General features: G+C 36.6%; 1 protein-coding gene across 5 annotated transcripts in view, besides 1 other annotated feature; it reads right to left on the reverse strand.

Moving 5' to 3' along the window:
* Window positions 1-24873, reverse strand: part of PCDH9 (protocadherin 9) — a 927503-nt gene that overhangs the window by 24005 nt on the left and 878625 nt on the right. The window lies entirely within an intron of this gene.
* Window positions 17828-18416: an enhancer, noted in NCBI's record as "NANOG hESC enhancer chr13:66918798-66919386 (GRCh37/hg19 assembly coordinates)". NCBI's record gives its function as "activates a minimal SCP1, AML or CMV promoter by ChIP-STARR-seq in primed H9 embryonic stem cells {active_cell/tissue: H9 hESC(primed)}" and the evidence as "EXISTENCE:reporter gene assay evidence [ECO:0000049][PMID:30033119]".

The following is a 24873-nucleotide window of genomic DNA, read 5'->3' on the forward strand; positions in this document are numbered from 1 at the left end:
AAAAACTATTAAACATACAAAACAAAATGCCTCTTCTTCCCCACCCAACTTAAGCACAATGGCTTAGTTTCAGACCTGCTGCTTATCATTCAGACAAGCACAATACTTATAATCTGGGCTTCTTGCCTCCAAACGATGAGGGTTTTTTGTTTTTCTTTTTTTTTTCTGTATTTTGTTACCTCTCCAAGGCAGTCCAAATTGTCTTTCTTAATACAATTATCTTTCCAAAGTTTAAAATACGCTTTTGTATACCAAGCCTTAGAAATAGCCTTATCAAACTCTGAAGTAAATACACCAAGTCACATTACTAAGAATGTATTGTGTGTTAGTTTGCTTTGGATGCTAAGGAAAAACCTCCACAGTAACCCTGTTGCCAGATCGACACATGTTAAAGTTTTGATATCAGGGATCTTTTGTTGCTTTGGCTAACCTAAATCCCCCATGCTGTACCACAAAGCCCCAGTATCTAGTTCCATATTTGGTGGAAAGAAGGGTAACAATCTGCTACTCTCTCAAAATGTACTTTGAATTACTTTGGTTTGGGGACCTCACCTCCATAAATAGGAGAATGGGAGACCTCTTGGTGTAGAACTTTGAGAAGCAAAAGGGATTATTTTGTTTAGAACTATGTCCTTTGTGTGTCTTCCCTTTTTCCTACATGTACCATATTAACGCTCTTTAAAAAATATTAACCTAGGAGTAACAAAAATAAGCACTATGTAAGTATGTAAAACATATCCTCATGAAAGGCAGTGTGGGTTAGAGCTCTAGACTCAATTTTGAGCACCAAAGTTCAAATACCTGTGCTATTATAGGAGTGGACATTGGAGGTCTTATGTATTTTCTCTGCACTTTAAATTCTATATCTATAAAATTATGAAGTATAATACCTGATGCATTATGAGGCTATTTGTGAGCATCAAAAATCAAGTGGATAAATGTACTAGGTGAAAATTGTATATAATCATTATAAAGTAAAATGAAGGATGTATAACCAATGCATCCCAATTCTTATACTGTATCTCCCCAGCTGTGAAAACTAGAATGAACTTATTTTGTTTATTCCTGCCTAGGTCTTTAATCTCTCTAAAGCTATATTTCTCCACAATCCTTGGGACTGATTTGGTATAATCTGACATCTAATTAATAAGCCTTTAGTTACTTATTAAAGATCAATGTTGAAAACATAAATAAAATATCACTAACCTTTCAAAGATCCTATTAAGTATCCAAAATGGATGCAGGGTAATCTATAATTAGTTATTGCATAAAACTCATCAGTCAGTTTTTAATCTTCAAAGATTTACTCTCATCAAGGACAAAAATATTTTATTCCTCCAAAATAATTTTGAAGCATTGAACAAAATTCTTTACCAGATTATTATAATTTATTACTTTTATTCTTTCTTTTTGTAATTATAGAAATCAAACCAGGAATATTTTTCAGACACAAATAATACTGGCTCAGCTCCGATTCAGTAGGCTCACATCATTTAAACTAACGATTACCTTGACACCACCAGAAGAAAAATAGGAAAGTAAGAAGTGCCTTAGAAGTATGATATTATCATTTATTGCAAAGGATACAATAGTTAAGGTGGGTATTAGCATATTATTTATTTATTCATTATTTTATTTTTATCTAAAATACAGAAAATTTACAAGGTGGTATTATGATCTAGCCTCCTTGTACAGCAGAATCCTCCCAGACTGCTCTCATTTCTACTGAGCACTCAAGCAACCTTTGTGAGAGTTGACGTCCGTATGTCTTAAGGGCAGTGGAGTGGTTTATATTCTTTCCAATTGATCCATGTTAACTGAGAATGGTTTTTCTGCCTGGATTGAGGACAGTCACCAAGTGTGACACGTGCGACTGACAGCAGCAGCACGAGTAAGCACTTTAGTGTTTCAATATGATTTCTCCAGTCAAGAAGTGATTTTTTTTTCCCTTAGACAAAGATATTGAATTGAGCTTCAAAGAAATATCAAAGCATATTTTCTTGGAGACTGTCCCTAAGAGCTGAACATTCATTTTTTAACTGGAAATTACCTTAAAGAAGGAATTCTTAAGCCTTCTTTTTGTCTCTGAACTACAGTTAATATTTTAATGTGTCAGTTTTTAATCATTCAAAAATGTCATTTTCTAACAGCATTCCACTTACCTTTTCTTTTCTTATTTTCACGAAAATAAGTTAAAAAGTATTTACACTTTAAGTTAAATGCTGTATTTTTGCTTTATGTTAACTATAGGAATTTAGGAATTTGTAAAGTTATAGTAGAGGAAGACAGAAAATAGTAAGTCACATCATACAGCATATATCATTTAACCAAGGTAGGTTCTGCTACAGACTAAACTGTAATTTCAGTGCTTTTATAACTATAACTTTGAGTCAAAGCCCTCAGCCACAGTTGCCTATATGACTGTGATTGGCAGACACTGAATGCTTGACAATTATTCTGATTTTTACTGAGATCTAGGAAAATTAGATTAAACAGTCTGAAAATAAATGTTTTAAAAAGTTAGCATTAACAGATTCTGGGAGCTGCTCAGTCACTGAAGGTGCAGATTCAATTCAAGTATATAATTTCAACTAATTATCCCACCTCCCCTTATCTTTCCTCCTCATTTCCCAGCCCTGTTCCCCTAAGGAATCTATGCTCAACCTTTTCCAAGTTCCTTTTTCCTTGAGAGAGTATAGCACTGTAAAGAGAATGTCCCCAGTTGATGAAGAACAATATGGCTCATGGTGCTCTCTAACATCTTTCCCTGTGGCTAATACATGGAATGGGTTTTTAATAAAATGTCCAGGGCTCACTTTTTAACCCTTGTCAACCAAAGACAGCCTTACTGTTTCTCAGCTCTTAATAGACTAATGTGTGCTTGTGTGTCTCCATGTGTGCGTTGTGAAGTTTGTTTGTAAATGTAATTGTACACAGGTAGGCGGAATGGAAAGTATAAAAATAGGCCTTTCTAAAATGATACAGATAGCACTATATATATGAATTTTCTTTCATAGCTTAGCCAAAATCTACTGAAGCAAAACAGGTCTTTCTTATTATAAGAAAGTACTGCATTTCTAGAAAAAAAATGCATAACTTTGCAATAGCTACAATAAAAAACATCTGGTAGCTGTTCTGAATATAAATGTTGTATTAAGCACTTAAACTGCATCTTTTCAGTGCTAATTAAATGAATTTAACCCAATTAGAGGATTAGAAACACTTTGTAAGTGCTCAACAGCAAGACTGGCTGAGAAACATTGCACTCCACCACTTCATTCCCTTACATGCCACTTGCACATGGCATGAATCATATAGAAGTCTGTTCAGTACTTATTTTGATAGTCTCTTCCTGTTTTTCTTTGCTCTTTAAAATCCTCTGGTCCAATAGCCTGGCACTGGCTGCTTATTCAGGATGCTTGCTAATTCACCAAGTAATTGCTCATAGGGTCCATTTTCAGAATTGAAAGTAGAAGTGGGGAGATCTTCTGTTTCCTGCTGATCCAGTGACATATTTAGAAGCAGTTGTCTATACAAGTGTCTGTCTCAGCATGTCCTGCGGCCAAATTCAGCACCCACCATAAGCACTTGCCCATGCTGCATATTTACCATGTTTCAGACTCTTATTCTTTCTGCCAACACCTACTGTGCTTCAACTATAGCCCACTGGACAGATTTGTTGACAGTGCTGGATTTGTTTTCCACCCTACTCTCTGCTAAGGTGAAAGGAGGAAAATGTAATTTGTGTGGGGGTGGGGGAAAGCCCAGCCTTAAAAGAAAAGATCAAGGACAAACTTCCAGAAAAAAAAAAATTATTTAAATTTTTCTGGTATAGTAGAGTTAAAATATAGATCTTACAGGCTTTTAAGCCTTGTTTTATTTGTACTTGAGAGAAGAAAGAAACCTTGCATGTAATCATACAATTCTGCATAAAACAAATGCCTGCAGTATGCTATGTGTTCAAGTACAAATGGCCTCTATTCATCACATCCAGCCTTAGCACAAGATCTTTCCTGAACTGGCTACTATATTTTAAGCAAAGAGGATACTGTTTGGAAAAAATTAGGCTCACATCTGACAGGCTATGAAATTTGTTGAGAATAAATGTGTGTTGCAGGATATTTTATTTATGTCTGAGATAATATCTCACAAATGTACTTCTCCATTTTAAGAGAAAATTATAGTTCGAAGGATCCTGATTAGGAGTCAGTGGAATGAGTCTCAGAAAATCGTGGACACATTTTTAAACTGTGCTGTGAAGAGAAAGTTTGTATGTCTGTGTGTATGTGCGTGTGTTTGCGTGTGTGTACATCCATGTGTGTTTGCATATCCTGGAACATATTCAGTTATTTAAAACAAGAATTTATATTGCATAAAAAATATAAGACAAACAAGACTCCATGGTTTCCATACAACTGGGGAGACTTTTCAAATTACAGTCATGTCTCATTGTTACTGGGAAAAATCCAGTCTTGGCAAATCTATAAATGAATGAGATGAAGGTTGGCCAACACATACTGAAATATTATTATGGGAGCCCTCTGGCCCCGAACTTCATGAGCGCCAGAGGAGAAGTAAATGGTTACAATACATCTCTTTATTTGAATTAACACTTGCTGAAATTTCTCATTGGGCCTATCCACGTGCATTAAGGAATTATCATATAAGTGATCAAAACTTCTCTGAGGATTTGGTGAAATAAATTTTTAAGTAATATAAAATGGCCCAAAATGTTTTATGACTTAATGAGAAAAATTATTGAAACTGATCAACCCAAATGAATTAGCAGAAGGTTTATTTTTCTGCAAATCTTTATTGATCCTCTGGTTGTTTCAGTTACTCTGCTAGGTATAAGGAATACAACTAGGAACAAGACAGAGTATCCCCTTGAGGGTTACACTTTAGTGGCAATAAATGAGTAGACCATTCATACTTGCTCTGTCTCAGAACTTAGGAACAACAAGTTCCTTGGCAAGAAAGCTATGAGACTTTACCTGAAGCACAATGTATTTATTTAACTTCTATGTTTATTTAGGAGATAGGCTACAGAATGATTAAATGAAAATGGAGAGAGGGTACTGAAGGTAGGATTCTGTATGTTGCCTCTTTGGTAGTCCTGCAGTGAAATAACCAAATGCTGACTTAAAGTAACTGCAGATTGTGATAAATGTTATAAAGCAAAGGAAGAGAGTGCAGTCAGGGAGATGACAGCGACTCAAGGTTGCCAGCAGGTGTTTGCTAAAAAGCAAAGAGAAGGCTGCTCTCAGTGGCCCCACTAAGATGAGGATTCAAAGGCTCTCCACGCTCCTTGGCTTACCTAGGAAAGAATTTCCTTCCAAACTTCTGAGGCATTTAGAAGTGCTAAGTAACTTTCCACTATGAAGCAATGCTGCTGTGCCCATTCAAAGGAGATGGAGACAACCAGAAACAAGAAGTAAGGTGTATGCCAGAGAGCATACACCATGTTAGAATGAGGTCTTCAATCAGCTCTGAACAAGCCACTGTTGTCCATGATAATCTTCATTTTGTCGAAAGAGAATGTTACCAAGCCCTTTCATTAATACAATCTACACAGTTCTAATTATTGAATCAATGGAGCTCACCAGTTTTTCACTGACCTATTACTTTTTGGTAGTTCACTGGCTCAACAAATAAATACTGATTCTACAGACTGCAGTGCTGGTCTCTAGGGAAACAAAGACCTTTAAGGAACACTTAAGTCTCATGGATGAGGCACACAAGTCAATAGAGAAGGTGAAAATGCTATGACAGGGAGATACTCATGTGCTCTAAAAGCACTGAGGTCTAGCCTCTCAGAGGAGGGGTGGTCACAGAAAGCTTCCTAGGAGAGATGACTCCTGGGATCTATTCCACAGGAAGGACATTCTGGGCAACAGGAACCAGAGGAGAAGGGGACAGAGCAGTGTGCATTAGAAAAATCACACTGTTTAGCACAACTCTAAAGAAAGGCATATATATATATGTATATATATATATATAAAATCACTATGTGAAAATATATGTACTTATTAATTCTACTCTTTCACAGAACTAAACAGGGATGTGTTTATGAATGTTCATTGAGATGACAAGCTCATTTCAATGCAGTTTGAGTTTTACTCTCTTAGCATTTAAGGCATTATTTGCTCTCTTACATTGATGCTGACAGATGCTTGGTTTATATTTAACCTAAAGGTGGCATTTACAACTGCAAAGACTTTTAATTATGATAGAATTGAAAACATACTGAATTCCCATTGCAAGGAAGACTTTCTTACTAGCCCATGTCAAATGCAAGGTAAAATGTAAAAAGACAAGAATGAGGAGCTTTTATCTAAGGTAAGAGAAATAAGCAAGTAGTATGTGTAGATTTGAAGGAACAAGAATAATGTAGTAGTCTCAGAATAGTTGTCAAAGGATACGATGGAGATTTTATTTTTAACCTGCTCCCAGACATTAACTGCATGAGACATCAGAAATCTGAAATTCCCTTTGCTACACCAGTATAGCACTGAGGTAGAAATGATGGACTAGGCACCCTGTATGAAGGCTAGACCAGCAGGGGTGCCATGTTCTGCACAATCCAGCCTCAAGCCGCTGTCCCTTGACAACATGCTTTCTTCTCTGTCTTGTAGTAAACAGTGGGTCCCCAAGGACCAGCTACCTCTGTGAAGGATAAAAATTACTTTAGATAGAAATTTTAAAATAGAATGACTTAAGAACGAAGATCTTTATTTTTCATTTTGTTTCTCTTTTTCTTTTGTATAAAAATTACAGGTTTGAAATGGAAACAGGAAAACTTAAGCAGACTTCTTTCAGAAAAAAGTTTTGAAGGGTTATTTTTGTTGATTAGAATAAGCATGAAGAAAATATTTGTTTAAGCATGTTTGCTTTGATGCTTAAAGTATATATTACTAACAGAATGATTTAAGTTCAATTCTGTAAAAAATGTATGTGACCCTGTGATGGTTAATGTTCTATGTCAACTTGTTAGGCCATGGGATCCAGATATTTGGTCAGTCATCAACATAAAGGTCCCTGTGAAGGTATTTTTCAGATGAAATTAACCTTTAAATCAGTACACTCTTACTGATACATAATAATTATACATGTGATATTTTGATACATGCATACAATGTGTAATGATCAAATCTGGGTAATTAAGATACTCTCACTGGAACATTTATCATTTCTTTGTGTTGAGAACATTCCAAATATTCTCTTCTAGCTATTTTGAAATATGCTTTATTGTTAACTACAGTCGCTCTACTGTGCTATCAAACACATACTACTTATTTCTTCTATCAAACTGTGTTTCTTTAACCCATTAACCAACCTCTCTTCATCCCTCCACCCCACTACCCTTCCCAGCCTCTGGTAACCACCATTCTGCACTCTGCCTTTATGATACCAACCTTTTAATCTCCCGCATATGAGTGAGAACATGTGATATTTGGCTTTCTGTCTGCTCATGTCACTTAAAATAAGGGCACATTGATGTTGCTGCAAATGACAGGATTTCATTCTTTTTTATGGCTGATAAATCAGTAGACTTTTAAATAAAGAAAACACCTCCATAATGTGTGTGTTGGTCTTCAAACCATCAGGTTGAAGTTTTTTAAGAGAATGAATGATGGAGACCCCCAACAGAAAGGGAAATTTTGCCTCCAGAATGCAACATCAACTCTTCTCTCCAGCCTGCCCTCCTTCCATACAAAGTTTGGACTTGCCAGCCTCCACAACAATGTGAGCCCAATTTTTAAATCTCTCTTTTTCTGTTTCTCTGGAAAATCTAATACTAACTCTTACAATAAGTATGTCTTTACTACTAAAAAAAAAGTTTTCTTGTCAGGTCATACCATACAACTAATTTTTCTTTTTAACTTACTTTTCATGCTTATTGGTGGAATATTGGTGACTCAGGGCACAAAATTATATTAGCTTCACAACAAAAAAAATTTCTTTTGATTCATATCTTATAAAGATCAGATAAAGGCATGAACTTTTATATTTGAACCTGTAATTGTATATTACAAGCTACCCCATATAATCATGTAATATTTTACAGCATATTTTTATTCATTAATTTCATATTATTTAGTTTTACTCCCCCAAAATAGGTATTTCTATACCTATCTATTCAATAGGTGATGAAAGAAAACATGAATCTTGCCCAAAGCTTCATAAAACAATGTGTGGCATAGTTAGGACTGCAATTCATCTAAATAGCCTTCAAACCCTTGGTGTTTTCATCACATCACAGTAGCCTAAGTCAAAAGCATACACTACAGAAATCCTTACTATTTGCTTCAGGGTGTTATTATTTGCTAGCCCAGCAGGACATATAAAAGAAAGCACTAGGTAGTCATCCTTACCCAATAAGCAAACTCAACCTCTACTTACGCTGAAGTACAACATTTCTAGATCCTAATGTTATTTTTTCATTTGATTTTTGAGAATTGTGTCCTCTCCTACTTATCTCCTCTTAAAATCGAGCTTGCTCTGACATTTTCTACATGCTTAATAATATTTAGGTATTTCGTAGCTTGTTAGCTTGTTTAGATAATAACAGCAACACTCACAACCAACACCAACATAAAACGAATTAAATGAACAAACAAAAAATGCTAACATTTTTGCAGTACTTATATACCAGGGACCATGCCAAATATCAGATACACATTATCTTATGTAATTCTTAATAACCTTGAGAGGTAGGTCTTTTTATTCTTATTTTGGCAAAGAATAAATGGAAAATCAGAAACATTAATTTGTATAAAAGAACGGAGCTAATAAGTGGGCATGAAAGGATTTAAACCAAGAGTTGTCTGATTTCAAAACTTATAGCCACAGTGGTAGGCAGGATGAAATATTGTGTTACTGTGAAATGTGGTTTGACTCTACAGCTTTTCTTCTTGACAGTTTTTATTTAATGATTTTTAACAATAAATAAGAGGAACTTGACTATTTTCTTCATAAACCAGTAACATATTAGTATAAAGTACACGGGGGTGTCTACTGTATTTGAGAGCATGGTTTCCGGAGGCCCGTATTGTCAATGTCAAGTAAGCTTTGCCGCACAAGACTGGTCTAGCAATAATCTGGCTTTTGGCAGAGCACACACTGGAAAACCTGTGAGAATAGATTGTCTAACTCCATTCCCCAACATCCTCTGGACTGTGGCCCCTTCTAAAGATAAGCAGTCATGTGTGGTAATGGGTACATAATGGAAAGAGAAACCTTCCAAATAAATGAGATATGAAAGGCCCCATCTGAGGACTCTATAGGAATCCACTCCCTATGCACAGGAGTGATAGGACTACTGGAGATCTTGTTGACTTTGTCAATGTAAGTGTTAAAAAGTATATACAAGCAACAATTTGTCCTACATTTCAATACTCCGCTTAAAGGCTTTGCAGGATTTTTTTTTTTTTAATTTACAAAATCCACAGTACTGTACCCGCTGAGAATACATGTTTGGATGGTCAGAAGTGGGTAAGATTTGGTGCTAAATGCAAAATCACAATAGAGACCTGATGTATCCTATGTTATATACTTCAGAGCTGTTCAAACTGAATTAGAGAGATGATGTCACCCTCTAAAAATAACAAAGCTATCTCAATGATTTTAATAGAGATTTTGGAATTAAAAGTTTATTATAAATTTACAAAGAAGAGATATATGTTAATATAAAATAGCCTATGGATGCTTTTAAAAATGCCAAATAACCTTTGATGGACCCTCTATAAAGAAAAATAGTTTAATTTTATTGTAGGTTTATGAAGAGGACAATAAATGAGTTTGCTATGTGGATATAATTAGGTTGAAGTTAAGTTTAATAATTCATAGTTTTCTAGGTTTTGAATAATAAGATGCATGTTGGTAATCTGTGGCTCTTTAACATCATTTTCTTTGTTTATCCTAATAGAGAAGTCAGCATAGAAACTATTTTTTGGTTGTTTTATCAACCTCAGCCCAGAAGCATCTTCCTCCTAATTCCAAATACTCTATTTTTAAGCAAGTAAATATAGGCAGTTGGATTAAATGCATTATATTATATGCAAGCTACCTAGACATTTCTTTAAAAAACTGAAGTTAAAAGTAACAAAATTCTCTTTTGCAGTTATAGAAGATACTGTTAAATAATTAGACAATTTTGTCCTTATAATAATTTTTTTTCTTTCCCTTAGGGAATGTTTCTTTCCCTAAAATAAATTTGAAGATCATTTGAATATAAATTAACATCAGATACTAAGTAGATGGTGTGATGAGTTTGCTTATAAAAGCACTATAGGAATATAATAACAGTAAAAGCAATATTTGGTATATTCCCAATATCAAATATAAAACCACTTTATTAAAAATACTAAAAATAACATGAGGTCAAAATTAGGCTCAATAATAATTATAAAACTTTCCATTCAATTTATATATATATTTATCAACAAGATTGCCCTGAAAATTATTCCCTGATATTTTATTTGGTCTTTGGAGATAAATGCAAACACATAAATAAAGGATAACTCTTCTTTGAAAAACTAGGTAAGTGATTCACCCAAAAGACCTAAGAGTTCTGCATTCTGGAAGGCCCTTGGTGATTGAGGTATGAGAGTAGAATGTCTGGCTTTTAATGATTACATCTTGTCTCAAAACTGGTTAATCCCAAGACTTGCACTATTGAATTGCAATCCTGTCATTCTGTATTTCCAGTATTTCCACCTGTCTTCATGGGATGCAAACTCATCTGGAGGTACTTGTTAAAACAAACAAACAAACAAACAAACAGAAATACAGACTCCTTGGCTATTAATGTCTGATAATAACTTTTATTTCTGAGTCTAGGACAAGGACATCTTAAGTAATTTAAGGATATTTTAAACTGTACTAGGAGACTTTGAGGTTATAGTCATAGCCACTACACAAAGTAAATAAAAGGACAATGAGATCTCGTGTTTATTTAAGAAACATTTGTTTCAAATGAGGAGAAATTTAATTGAATGCATTTTTAGCCTGATGTTGGAAGACAAATCTGTGCTCCTGATTTTAGAAGCTCAAAATACCACTAAGAATATGGCAACAGTGTTGAATAACATACACTACAATGAGGGTGGATAAAGGGAATGCCCACAATCAGGGAACAAGCTTCTCTTCTCCATTGAGATCAGATGGACCTGGCTCCAGATAACTGTATATTTTACATGTGAGCCTTGTGACTTTAGGAAGTTAATTAGGCAGCCAAAACCTCAGTTTTCATATTCATACATTAGGATGGTAATGTCTACCTCTCAAAATTGCAAAGCTTCTTAAAACACATGAACGAAATCATGTAGCATAGCACACAGTAGTACACAGAACATAGGTGTCCAATTAACACATTCCCGCTCTTTCTTTTTCCTCTCTTTTCTGCCTCCCTAACACCTGTCTTTCTTATGTCTATATTACAACAATCCTTCCTGAATCATGTGCACTGGAACATGAGCTTGAAGTGTTCAAAACATAATTTAGCTTAGTATCCCTAGTGAGTATTAATTTAACTTTTTTTGATAACTAATAATTAAAATGAGAGGTTTTACAAATTTTATGATGGCAAGAAATGATAGAAACAGCATCAAAGTTATATTCTGGGTCTGAAAGTAAATATTTTCTGAAGCTTTTTAATATTTGGTTTCATAATGATTTACTTTATAAATTTAATTAACAGTATTTTAAAATAAGAGAATATCTATTTTTAAGACATTACACTCAATGGCAGATGAACCCTTTCTCTTCTCAGCATAATTTATTGTGAAAAGTGTGTGTGTGTAGAGGGGTGGGGGGTGGTTCTGTGTGAGAAATTCTATCTGCCTTCTAGCTAAGTTTGTTTCAGTGGAGATGAGATCCTGACCACTGGGCTGATGGATGTACACATAACTGACTTGTTCAATTCTAATTTAATTCTAGAAATCTATCTCCTTTATGACTTTAATTTTTCTGACATGAAAACGTTCTATCCTTTTAGGCTTCCATTGCTTCTGCAGAGATGAAGTATTCTCTTGGTAGAAGAGAAAAAAAAAGAAGTAAAGAAGCAGCAATAAACAATTCCACAAAACCAATTTTCACATTGGCAGAAAAACACGAGAACTCCAAATAACCATAAATTGAAACAGTGGCAGATTCTTGGCAGTGTATGATTTGAGATTATTAATGAAAACCTTTACCAAAAACATGCACATCCTTTAGTTTCAGGAGACGAGTTTTTCATATATGCAACTGTCTGAAACTATATTAGACCAGAAGAGAGAAAACGTAACTTCAACCCTCAGCGTGGCCACAGTTGTAGCTTTTATGATCACAGGTGAGTTGAAACAAACCTAGTAAGGTATTCATTTTTATTGTCTGTAGTAATGAGAACAACAACAACAAAAAAACAGTATTACTTTATTTTTTAAACTTAATTATCAGTATTCTTAAATAGGAGAATACCCATTTTTAAGACATTACACTCAATGGCAGATGAGCCCTTTCTCTTCTCAGCATAATTTATTGTGAGAGATGTGTGTTGGGGGGGTGTGGGTGAACCTAAAGGAAGTCTTTCTACACCTCTTTTGATTAACCTAAGTTTTAGAGAGAACCACATTCCTCTGGCATTCTGACTACATTAGTAATTCATCTTTTTATCAAAGACATACTTTTACTTGTTTCTTTACATCACAGATATTTTGTTGAAAACTATTAAGATAGTATTTCTAGAATATAATAAAACATTCAGAATAGCATTGCTAAGCAAATACACTGTGCCATGATTATGTTTTTTTGCAATGTGTATGCAATTGCTTTATTTTACATTAGGAAATAGACAAAATGCATCTATTCATTTTTCTTTTTAATTTTAATCTTTTTGAACATGCATTTGTGGTTCAGTCAAATAGCAGAATGAAAAAGTAGCTCTATCCACACTTTGGAGGCACTTTTTAAAAAAGGGAATAGTATAGCAACCTGTGGCTTCTTCTAGTTCACTTCTTTGGTTTTCTTCACCACTTCTATCATATCAGAAATGCCCTTTATTCAGTTTTTGTTTCTCTAGGCACATAATTTTGGTTCTCTTTGAAGCTGAATCCCTCAACACCTCTTAAAAATCTATTGTTCCTCAGGCTTAGCAACTTACTGACATGAACTTCCTCCTTTGTCTTCCCTGTGCAACTATACTTGGGGAGAATGATAAACATGAGGTTTCTCAAACCAAAAGTTAACCATTGTTTTCCTCAATTAAAAAATCCAGAGTAATTACATATTTCTAGCCATTCAAGTAAATAAATAATGTAATGGCAGAATATTATTTTCAAATATTTCAAATTAAACTGTTTATATGGTGAAACCAAAATTCATTTGGCAAGAGATAAGAAACAACTCATGTTTGAAAAGTCCTGAGGAGCTTATCGTTTTTTGTCCTCAACTAGTCTGAGGCTAGCAATTTTCCTCAGCTAAGAGAAAGGTAGATTTGGGAGGCACAAAAGAACCTAAAATTTTTTCTTGAAGGGATAGTTTTCATGGTGACACTTTTCTACTACATGGCTTTTTATTGCCCCAAACTAATGGGCTTAAATGAATTTGGGCAATATGTAATGCTGGAAGGACTAGATGTAGATTTTTAATCGCAAACAAAACTGAGTTCCTTTCACATTTCAGCTATGCCCATAGAATGGAGACTCAACAGTGACAGCTAAACCCTCTCAAAGATGTTCTTCAAAAAGGATCTGCCAAATATGTGCCACTTCACACTTCACATGCTGACTTGCTTGAAAAGACTTTATTCTTTTTAATCTAAGCTTTCTGTTTAAGTTATTTCCATGGTTAATTCATTTAATCCTTACATAAAAACTCTAGCCACAGGCACTATCTGATTCTCCATTATACAAAGAGGTGAGGTGTTCTGCTCAGATCGCCTACCTGTGTGATGATCCAACGTATGACAAGTAGGTCATAGGTAAACAGACATTTCTTTCTTTTACAAAATCTGAATTACTAGAAATTATTGTATTAGTAGATTTTCTGAATGCCTTAACACTAAAGTGCAAATCTCAATTCTCTGTAGGGTTTATACCTTTATTTCAGGGGGAAATTATTTAACATAGAAGCCTTTATCTTGATTACCATTGCCCTTACATAAAAGTCAGACACTGAATCTATATTCCTATAGTAAAATTCAGGTACTATGAAATGTTTAAGTATTTAGAGTGCAAAGTAAAATGTATTGTCACTTACTCATAAATGAAAATGACTTGCTTTATTTTATTTATTTTTTATTTTATTTATTTACTTTTTTTGAGACACAGTCTCACTCATGACTCACTGAAGCCTGAACTCTCCTGGGCTCAAGCAATCCTCCCACCTCAGCATCCCCCGTAGCTGGGACTACAATCACGCATCACCTCAGCCAGCTAATGTTTTAGTTTTTTTGTAGAGACCAGGTCTCACTTTGTTACCCAGGCTGCTCTCAAACTCCTGAGCTCAAGCAATCCTCCTGCGCTGGCCACTCAAAGTGCTGGAATTACAAGCATGAGCCACCATGCCTGGCCAACTTGCTTTAAAAGAAGATACTTGCTTTTAAATGCTGCTCTAGGTTTTGGCTATGCAAACTGTGCCACAAGGAGCTGTGGCAGCGGTGTCACCCAATAGGTTGTTAGAAATGTCAAGTCTTAGCCCAGCCCCCACCTCAGATCTCCTGAATCTGAACCCGCATTTTAACAAATCCACAAGTGATTCCTATGCACATTAGAGCTAGAGAAACACCGACCTAATTAATGATTCTGTTGGTTTTTCTGCTGTGCAAGTGACCCAGAGACAAAACAAACGTCTTATATCTAGGTGTATTCTGGGGTATAAGGTGTACACTTGCACTGAGCTGGTTTGCTAGAACTAATCCTGTACTAACAGGCACAGGACTTTTGTATAGCAATGGGCATAAATCTCCAGAACGAGGCCATGGTCAGGGCAGAACAGAGGCAGACTGGAGGAGAGCTTGTGTCTCACTGCGCTCAAGGGAGATGTAAATATGCACACTTGAAGTGTGTACTTACGTGCACTTTGCTAGCAGCTATATGGGCTGCAAGCTATAACAGGGCAAGTGTCCACCTCACTTAGATTGAAGTCTCAGAAAAGTGAACAGATGGAAAAGAGAAGTCTTGCCTCTTCTGCTGTGGGCTGGGTGGGGACTGAGCATTCATGTTTTCATAAGTTCAAAGAGAGAAACTTGACATCATTATTTCTGAATAGGAAAGAACTTTTATTAAAACTGTTATCTCTTACGTCACTGGAATTAAAATGAATCTGAACATATAATTTTAAAACATCCATAATGTGGAGCAGTTGCCACAAAAAAGTTGAGTCATCACTTAAGAACATGTTTCAATGTTAAAAGAAATAGCAGCTGTTGCAAAATTTTAAGTGTGAGAATTGCTACTATTTCATTTTTAAACATACTCAAAATTAATAAAACACAACAACTTGCTTTTAAAATAGATTTCCTATGAAAATAGCTAAATGCGTTTTACAACTATAAAGATGGGCAACTATAATAATCATCAAAATAATTTATGGTTATAAACCGTTTACTATATGCCAGACATTACATGTATTGAGGAATTTACTCCTTATAACAGGATAGTTACTATTAATATTCTCCTTTTACCAATAAAGAAAGTGAGGCAGAGAAAGTTTATGAAACTTGACTGAGGTTAAACAGATCCTACATGATACATTCAGGATGCAAACCCTTTCAGTCTGTCTCCAGAGTCCTTTTCTTTCTCTTATGGTTTTTCTTTTTGAGACGGAGTCTCTCTCTGTCACCCAGGCTGAACTGCAGTGGCACAACAACCTCCGCCTCCCAGGTTTGAGCGATTCTCCCTTCTCAGCTTCCCGAGTAGCTGGGATTACAGGCTCCCGCCACCACATCCGGCTGATTTATTGTATTTATTTATTGTATTTATTTATTTATTTATTTATTTATTTATTAGAGATGAGTTTTCACCGTGTTGCCCAGGCTGGCCTCGAACTCCTGAGCTTGGACAATCCGCCCACCTCATCCTCCCAAAGTTCTAGGATTACAGGCGTAAGCCACCGTGCTCAGCCCCAGAGTCCTTTTCATTATTAGACTCTACAACCTTCTGACATGCTATTTTTGGTAAACAGAGATCCCTTTTCATTTCCACTCCCCAAATAAACAAGCAAAAAACAACCAACCCACAACAACTTCACTGGTATCTGTAATTGCTGTAGCTGGGGACATATATTTAATTCCATCAATAAAAATAATAGTTACAATGCAGATGTTCTCAGGAAGAGTAAACTTCTGAAAGAATACTGGAGGATAGGTATATTAATTTTCTGTTGCTAATGTAACAAATTACTCCCAAATTGAGTGGCTTAAGAACATCCATTTATCATGTCACAATTCTATAGGTCACAAGTCTGGTACAGAGTGACCCTGTTGAGTCCTCTGCTGAGAGTCTCGGAAATACAGAATCAAGGTATTGGCAGCAGTGCATTCCTTTCTAGAGGTTCTGGAGATAAATCTGCTTATCAGCATATTCAAACTGTCGTCCGACTTTAGTGTTTGTAAGGCTGAGGTCCCTGTTTCCTTGCTCTTGTTGGCTGTCAGCTGGGAACCAAGCTCGTCATCTTAAGGTCTCCTACATTCCTCAACACATTGGCACCTCCCACTTCAAACCAGCAACAACAAGGGAGCCCGTCTCACTTTGAATCTCTCTGACTTCCCCTTTTATCCTACATTTTCTGTCCCTAGCTGGAGAAATATATCTGCGTGTAAGCACTCACGTGACTAAGTGCTCACATGATTAGACTGGGTCCACCTGGACAGTCTAGGCAAATCTCTGCATTTTAACATCCAATTACATCTGCAAGGTCTTATTGGTCATGTCAACTGACATATCCTCTAGTTGCAGGAGTTAGGACATGAACATCGCTGTGGGAACGGGGGGCATTGCCTACTGCTTTAGATTTGGAAAGGGCTGAGGATGGTAAATGAGCCCAGAGAAATTAGACTGGAGGGGGACCAAAAATAAGCTTTGAAATCATCTCAATTTTGCCTAATATATTGTTCAGCTCTCACTCATAATCTTTAATTATTTGTTTCATGCAGGAACATGTCACATCATTTGTCAAAGTATCCCTTAGAAAAGGAAATGTTTAAAAAGTTAATTTGGCCATTTAATGTAAGTAAAAAATCTGATAGAAAGTGTAAGTATCCTCATTAATATTGTCCAAAATATTGCATACTAATGAAAAAGAAAGTTTTGGGGTTTTTTTTGTTTTTGTTTGTTTTTGAGGTGGAGTTTTGCTCTTGTTGCCCAGGCTAGAGTGCAGTGGCACAATCTCAGCTCACTGCAACCTCCGCCTCCCAGGTTCAAGTGATTCTCCTGCCTCAGCCTCCCAAGTAGCTGGGACCACGCCCAGCTAATTTTTTGTATTTAGTAGAGATGGGGTTTCACCATGTTGGTCAGGCTGGTCTGGAACTCCTGACCTCAGGTGATCCACCCATCTCTGCCTCCCAAAGTGCTGGGATTACAGGCATAAGCTACCATGCCCGGCCAATAAAGTATTTTTAACTCTTCACCTGACAGTGGTCCAAATGCACATTGACATATTAGTACAACCAGCTGGATGCAATGTAAGTATTGCTGGTATATATTGGATAATGAAAAAGTATGAGTCTTACCATAACAAAATAAATCAAATGTGCTACCCAAGTCTCAAGTTAACTAGGGCAATATGTTTCACTTTTTACCAAAATGTAAAATCCAATACAAGGGGTAAAATTAATTTTAGAGTCCTTCCCTTTAGCTATATAATGGCTTTATTTTTATGATGCCTTTATTTCTGAGATACTAAATATTCTCATTACCAATTCTCTAAATGTTGTAGGCCTGCTGCTGCTGTTATTAATGTTTCTTAAGGGTCCCTCTGTAAATACGGTGCAGCTTAAACCAAAACACACATGCACGTCTCCAGAGAAGACTGACACAGGACTGCTGACACATGAATGGGATGCTTTGTCTAACTAACATAAAAATGCAAATTAATTGCAGGGAAAGAAAACTAAGGAATTCAAAGGCTTTCTTGATTGCCTTCTTTAAAATGCCAGGAACTTAAGCTGGGCTTTCTTATCTTCCACTACATGCATGTGACACTTTAGGAGGTCTTTCTTATTGTACTATAACTCAGGGATTGTTCCAGCTCTGTGCTCCATGCCTTTTTCCAAAGGGCAGCCTGAGATGTATAATTCGGGTAATGAACAGCTGCATAATTTAAGGGTCGAGCTAGTAGGGCAGTGTTCCTTATTTTGTGTTGCTTTAGCAGTTGCCAAGATGTTCCAGGCCTATTTAGGAATACAATTTTTTGACTGCTTTATTTCTCTCAGATGATATATGCTGGGATTTGGTTGTGCTCCAGAAAGTGAATTTTATCAGCAGAAGTACCAGAGCAAGCTTTTCTCTCATTTTACTCCAAAGGGCAACAGCACTGAGCTATAATGAGGTAATTTTTTTTTCCAGCCATGCACACTGTGTTTTATCAGGCAGGGTTGTTTAAACCAAGTCCTGTCCCTTTCCAAAGCATGACAGACTCAATCACTGAGCTATCAAAGGCATTTCCACAGTACATCCCTCTCACACAAGGCCAATCTCCTGAACATTCAAAAGGGCCAGGCAACGAGGCCCTTCAAGATGAAGGCGGCATGCTGATTAATCAGTTGCCTTTTTATTCCATCTTGGCAAGTATTCCTTGTTTGTAAATAAAAGGTTTCCCCTGAATTTCCTGTAAACTAAGGAGCATAAGGTTGATTTGGACCTCGTTCACAGAGCAAGAAAGCTGCCTGCTGTCCAATCCAGAGATGCGCCATGTCCACCATTGTAAGTACTCCTTCAGGTGTCTTGAAGCGTACCCTGCGTATGAGCTAATCTAAAAACAATTGTCATGTCATCAGGATAAAGCAGAACAGGCTGACTTTAAAAAGTATTTTCCATCTCTTTTACAATAACACTCCCTGTTTGAGGAAAAGACCCCAGTGAGCAATTTGCAAAGGCATTGAAGTGTACACCACACAATAAGCGTATAGGGGAAAAGCCGTCAATAAAACAGGATATCTTTTTCCAAGAAATAAATTAGTGTACTCTTTTCCTCGTCAGATGGTAAATAGCTAATGGAAAAGAGATGTGACAGACCACAAAGACTAGGAATTGTCTGCAAACTGGCAGGCGCAGTGATTTGCTCACGACCCAAATTATATTCAGGCAGTTTGGCACATCTCTGTTTGTCACACTTACACCACCGAGCCAAATGTGTTTAATTAATATGGAGTATTTTCCTTTTCTTGAAGTAGGAACAAAACAACAAGCATTTCTTGATTGCTCGCAAACACTCCAAACAGCAAGAATTGTAAGCAAGGCTCTTGTCATCACTCATCTTTGGTTATCTTCCATGACGAGCACACAACCACGGAAACGTTGATTCTTGACTAGGAATTTGTGTGCATACAGACATATCTCTACTGCATGTGCTGTGTGTGTGTGTGCACAGGCAGAGAGCTTAGAAAATGTGGTTGCTGAAATAACTAACCTTTTAGGATACAACTTTGGCATCTTTTCCCTCAGTTTTGAAAGCAAGGTGCAGAGGCTTATTTTGTGAGAGTGAAACCTTCTGAATCAATACCAGAGTTTGCCACTGCTGTATAAACCCATCCATCACAATGCTTCAATTCCTGCAATACCCCCATTCTATGGCCTATGGCTGGTAGAGCAGCCTGGGTATCTAGGATACTTCTGGAAATGCAGAACTGGGGAGGATTATTTTAAAAATCTCTTCTGTGATGAGATAGAGGGCAGGAGCTATATCATCCAGAGAGCACTGGCTCTTTCTCTAACTGCCTATGGGTCAGTTAACCTGTGTTGGTGTGGCTTCTTACATCCTTCAAATGAGGAATTAGCTCGGATGAATGCCAGTGGGCCCTCACAGCTCTGTGAATTACAAACACTCTAAGTATTTGTATTAATTTTAAATAAAGCCACAAGAGTCAGCAACACTCCTTTAAAAAGCCAACCATAGTGGAAATACAAATGCTAATTTCCCCCCAATAAAGTCACTTCATTGTATTCAATTTAAGATTATGGGGATATATTAACTCTTTCAGGCTCTGAAGGGCTTTGTGTGTAAATAACACATTTTTATAATGAAACAAGTACTATGTATTACAATTATAAGTTACAGCTAGCTATATAAATTTTATACACTGATATAAAATGTACCTGGCATGGAAAATTTAAGAATGTCTCCAAAGAAAAATATATTAAAACTCTGGTTCAATTGCATACCAAGCACATTTTAATGTATTCATGTTTCTGAACATATGTAATACGCAAATAGAATGCACTAGTATATTGCATTTACATCTTGAATTTTAATAGTTTTAGTGAGTCATTTTGTTTAGATGGAAAAAAATGTCTTTAACAGTTATAATTCCCTTATCATTCAGTGTACTTAAAATGTATAAATATTTCAGGCCTTAGGCTATGGTGGAGACTGCAAATTAGGAACCAAAACAAATGTCAGATTAGGAAGAAATGATTCTATCACTCGGAAAAAAAACAAAAACAAACAAAAAACATTATTTTTTTGCACCACTTCCCAAAAAACATCACTTCAGAAATTATCTACAAACAAAATTCATCATGTCTTCTTTCTTGTGCCTACTGAATGTATTTGTCATCCTAATTGAGATCTGTAGTACCTTAGTCACTTCCTAGTCCCTGGTTCATTAACCTCTCTTCAGCCTTACCGGCCCTCCTGCCCAGCCTTGACCCATGGTCAGCCATTTTAGATGGTCCTGCAAGCACCTGTAAGCCTAGCTCTGCCGACCTTCAGCTGTGTCCATTTGGCTAATTGTCCAGGTGGAAAAAGCCTCTCCCCATCTGCTTTCTTTACTTCTCTCCTGAGCTGCGAGCTATTGCTGGAACAATTCAGACACTGGAGTTGACATGCTCTTCTACAAATCTGTGCTGTTTGACCTTACCTCCACTCGAGCTGCTATTCAACAATTCCTTTAATCATCACTTACTGAGTCACAGGACAATTCAAATAGCAGCCTTTCTTCAGGCCTCAGTTCAGTCCTAATCACCTCATTCTTGGAGAATGGTATCACCTGATATTTAACTCAGACTACTGAGGTTCTAATTTTCTTTATCTCTTCTTCACATTCATTCCTTTTTTCTTATTAGTCTCTCAGAAATGATCTTTTTCCTTTTTCCATCTCCCACTTTCCTCCCAATCTTTTCCCTGTTTTGTTTTACCCTCTTTTCTGTCACATTTCTGGGGTCTTCTAGGCTTACCAGCTTACCTGCATCTGGATCAGTAAATTGTCACTCTTCACCCCCAATCCCTGCCACCATGCAGACACACACTTCCATTCAACATTCCCTGTCTTCAGACTACTTCTACCATAGAAATGTTCAATAACTGCCCCATGTCATAAACAAGAAAAAAATTTCAACAACAAAAAGTAACATTTTCTTTTCTTTTTTTTTTTTTTGAGACAGAGTCTCAGCCTGTCACCCAGGCTGGAGTGCAGTGGAGCGATCTCAGCTCACTGCAACTTCCACTTCCGGGATTCAAGCGATTCTCCTGCCTCAGCCTCCTGAGTAGCTGGGATTACAGGCACCCGCCACCACACCTGGCTAATTTTCACTACAGACAAGGTTTTGACATGTTGGTCAGGCTGGTCTCAAAAAGAAACTTTCTCTTCTAACCTATTGCCATATTTCTCAAGTGCTTGTATAGTGCTATTTGCCATTTTTTTTTTTTTTTTTTTTGCTGCCAAGTTTCTCTAATGGTTAATAGCTTAACACCTGATAGATTCTACTTGCTCATCACCCTTAAAATCTTTGCAATCAGTACCTACTTCTTGACTGAAATTATTTTTTCAAGGTCACATTTGACTTTTATGTTCAACAAATTGTATTTTATTTTCTGAAAACCATGTTGTTCTTCCTCTGTATAATACTCATACCCCTTATCACACTTGTAACCTTTCCCTTCCCTTGTGTCGTGGGAATTTTAGCCTAGGATTTAAGCTGTGTACACACATAATTCAGATATAAATGAGATGCCAAAAATAGTCACCAGACATATCTGCACATTAGAAGTATCTAGAAAATAGATTTCTGGACTCAAACCAAACATCCTCAATCAGAAACTGCAGTGGTGCAATTCTGAATTACTGAGAGTTTGACAAACAAGGGTCTAGAGGCCTGCTGGCATGAAGAAAACACTTCATTACCTCATTGTGTGGCAACCAGCAGGCAGTGTTTCCTGGAGGAGGGAGGATGGCACATACTAGACCCTCCCTAAATATTTGTTGAATAAATGAGTGCATGAGGGCATGCCTTGGTTGTTGAAGGAAAGGGGTGATTTAAAGCATACGCCTGTGCTCTGCACTTTGTTTGTCTTCTGTCTCGGTTTCTATTATCTCCTTGATGACAAGTTACTGCTGTAGGATATTTGAGACCCAAAGCAGAAATGATTATGACAAATACATAGAAGACAAGAGAGGTTTTCCTCCCACTTTATATCGGAGTGTGGCATTGTGCTTTGGAGAAGACAGAAAATATGTCACAGCTTTGGCACACCCAGAGCTTTTTTCACAGCAGCAGAGCCTGCAGCCCTGGCAGGGCTTCTAGCATCTGATGTGCCAGGGCTACCAAGTGCCAATATCTTCAAAAGCAACTGATGAGAGTACTAGTGGCTTTTGGGGCAATAGGAGACAGCACTGAAGAAAGTAGTCCCCAAAGCAGCGGTGCTACCTTTACCTGGCTTAGGGGGTAGTGAGAGATTTGCCAGCTGGATGAACAGAAAAGGTAGCAGAAGGAAAATGTCAGATACCAGTTACGAGCTAAGAGAACGGAGCTCGTGAAAGCCGCATGTCTTAACAAGGTTGGAAAGGTTAGAGCTAGGGAACTACTACTATGCGAGCACATCTTAACTATAGATTTGTATAGTCAAAAGAAATTTTTGACTTTATAGATATTATAACATTTCTAATTTTCTCATATTGCTCACACTGTCATACTTCTCCACACTTTAAAAATTAATCTTTATCCTGCCCTGAAGTTTGGCATTTCCAAGATCCCTCCATCGGTCACGTCACATTCCACATGCTCATTGATAGTATCTAATCCTGCAGCTTGGACACAATCTCTATTCACAGGACACTTGATCTACAGCTTCCAGTTCTGACCTAGCTCTGACCTCCACACTCATATTTCAAGTCAAAAATAAGTAACTTAAGATCTCACCCAAATCATAAATTCAACTTGACATAAAGCACATTCATTACCTTCTGCCCCAAACCTCTTCTTTCTGACTCCCCAGTGCTTAGTAAAAGCAACATAATTTTTCCAACCATATAGGCTGAACATCTTCAGGTAATTCCATCTCTCTGTAACACAGCCCTTAATGACTTCTTCCTTATTGAGATACTGTAGTTTCTTCATTTGACTTGGAGCAAACACTCTCTTGGAGTTATGTGACATCACTGCCCACTCCTTCTCACATGTCTTAGTTACAACTACTAGGTACTGGAGTCTTACAGGCTCAGCCGTTAGTCTTCAGCCCTCTTGTCTTCTCTAACTGTATTTGTTGCAGAGCTAGTCTCATCTAGTCTCAGATTTTCCTTCTCTGGCTCTCGGTCAATGAAAAAGCAATTCTTCTGGTGTTTCAGGACAAAAAAACATGTAATTATATGACTACCCTTTATTCTGTCTCACATTCAGTGCACAATCATATTCTGTGGATCTTCACAAAAATGAAAATCTGACACTTCTCATCACTTCCACTCCTAGCACCCTTGTCCAAGTAGCTATCATTTCCTGTTTGGATTATTGCAATAACCACCTAAATGGCATTCCTGCTTCTTATTTTCTACATCTATGTCTCAAACAGAATCAGAATCTCTCACAATTCTTCTATAGCTTCCATCTCACTGTAATCTCAGGATCATTGAGAATGCCTTTGTTACTTGATATATTTTGAAATCTTTCGTAGGCCAAAATGTAATTTATCTTCTTACCAAATATCATTGCTAATCTTTTCTCATGTCTACAGGTCCTACGAATATAGGACCAACTGAACATAACCAAGAAGATGGACAGCATAGCTCAAAGGATAGAATTATGATATTAATAATGATTTTAAAATAACTCTTATTACAAATAATCATTTCTCATGAACTTGCTCCGTGCCAGACACTGTACTAAATACTTTACTTTTTTTTTCATTTGATTCTTTCTACAACCCCATAATTTATGTATAAAAATTATCCTTCCAAGTTTTGGCAGATGAGCCCAGCCTGGCTAGGTGTATCTTGGGCAAGTTCATTTAAAGAGTACTGGAAGATAATAGGATCATGATAGGAACTAATAATGGAAAGGTAATTTTGACCCATTTTACATCTTTCATGCCGGAAGTCTCCTACTGATGACAATACCAAAAGCTCCAGTCATGGGGTTACTTCTGTCCTTTCTAAGAAATTAGTTGTTTGTTGTATATTTCGAGTAAGTAATGGGTGAAGGGAAAGACGTTCGATTTATAATTGTCTTTAAAAAACATATAATATTTTATTTAACCAGATCAGTATTTATGAAATAATGAAAAATGGGAATAGCCTTTTAAATCTTCAAATATTTTTGAGTGACTATTTTGTACCAAGTGCTAAGCTTATTCATGTTACCTTATTTAAGTTTCAAAATAATCACTTAGGGTATTATTATCCAGAGTTACACATTAAGAAACTACATTTTGAAGAGACTGACATGCCCAAAATCATCAAGC

Source organism: Homo sapiens, chromosome 13 (genome assembly GCF_000001405.40).
Source record: "Homo sapiens chromosome 13, GRCh38.p14 Primary Assembly".
Taxonomy (NCBI): Eukaryota; Metazoa; Chordata; class Mammalia; order Primates; family Hominidae; genus Homo; species Homo sapiens.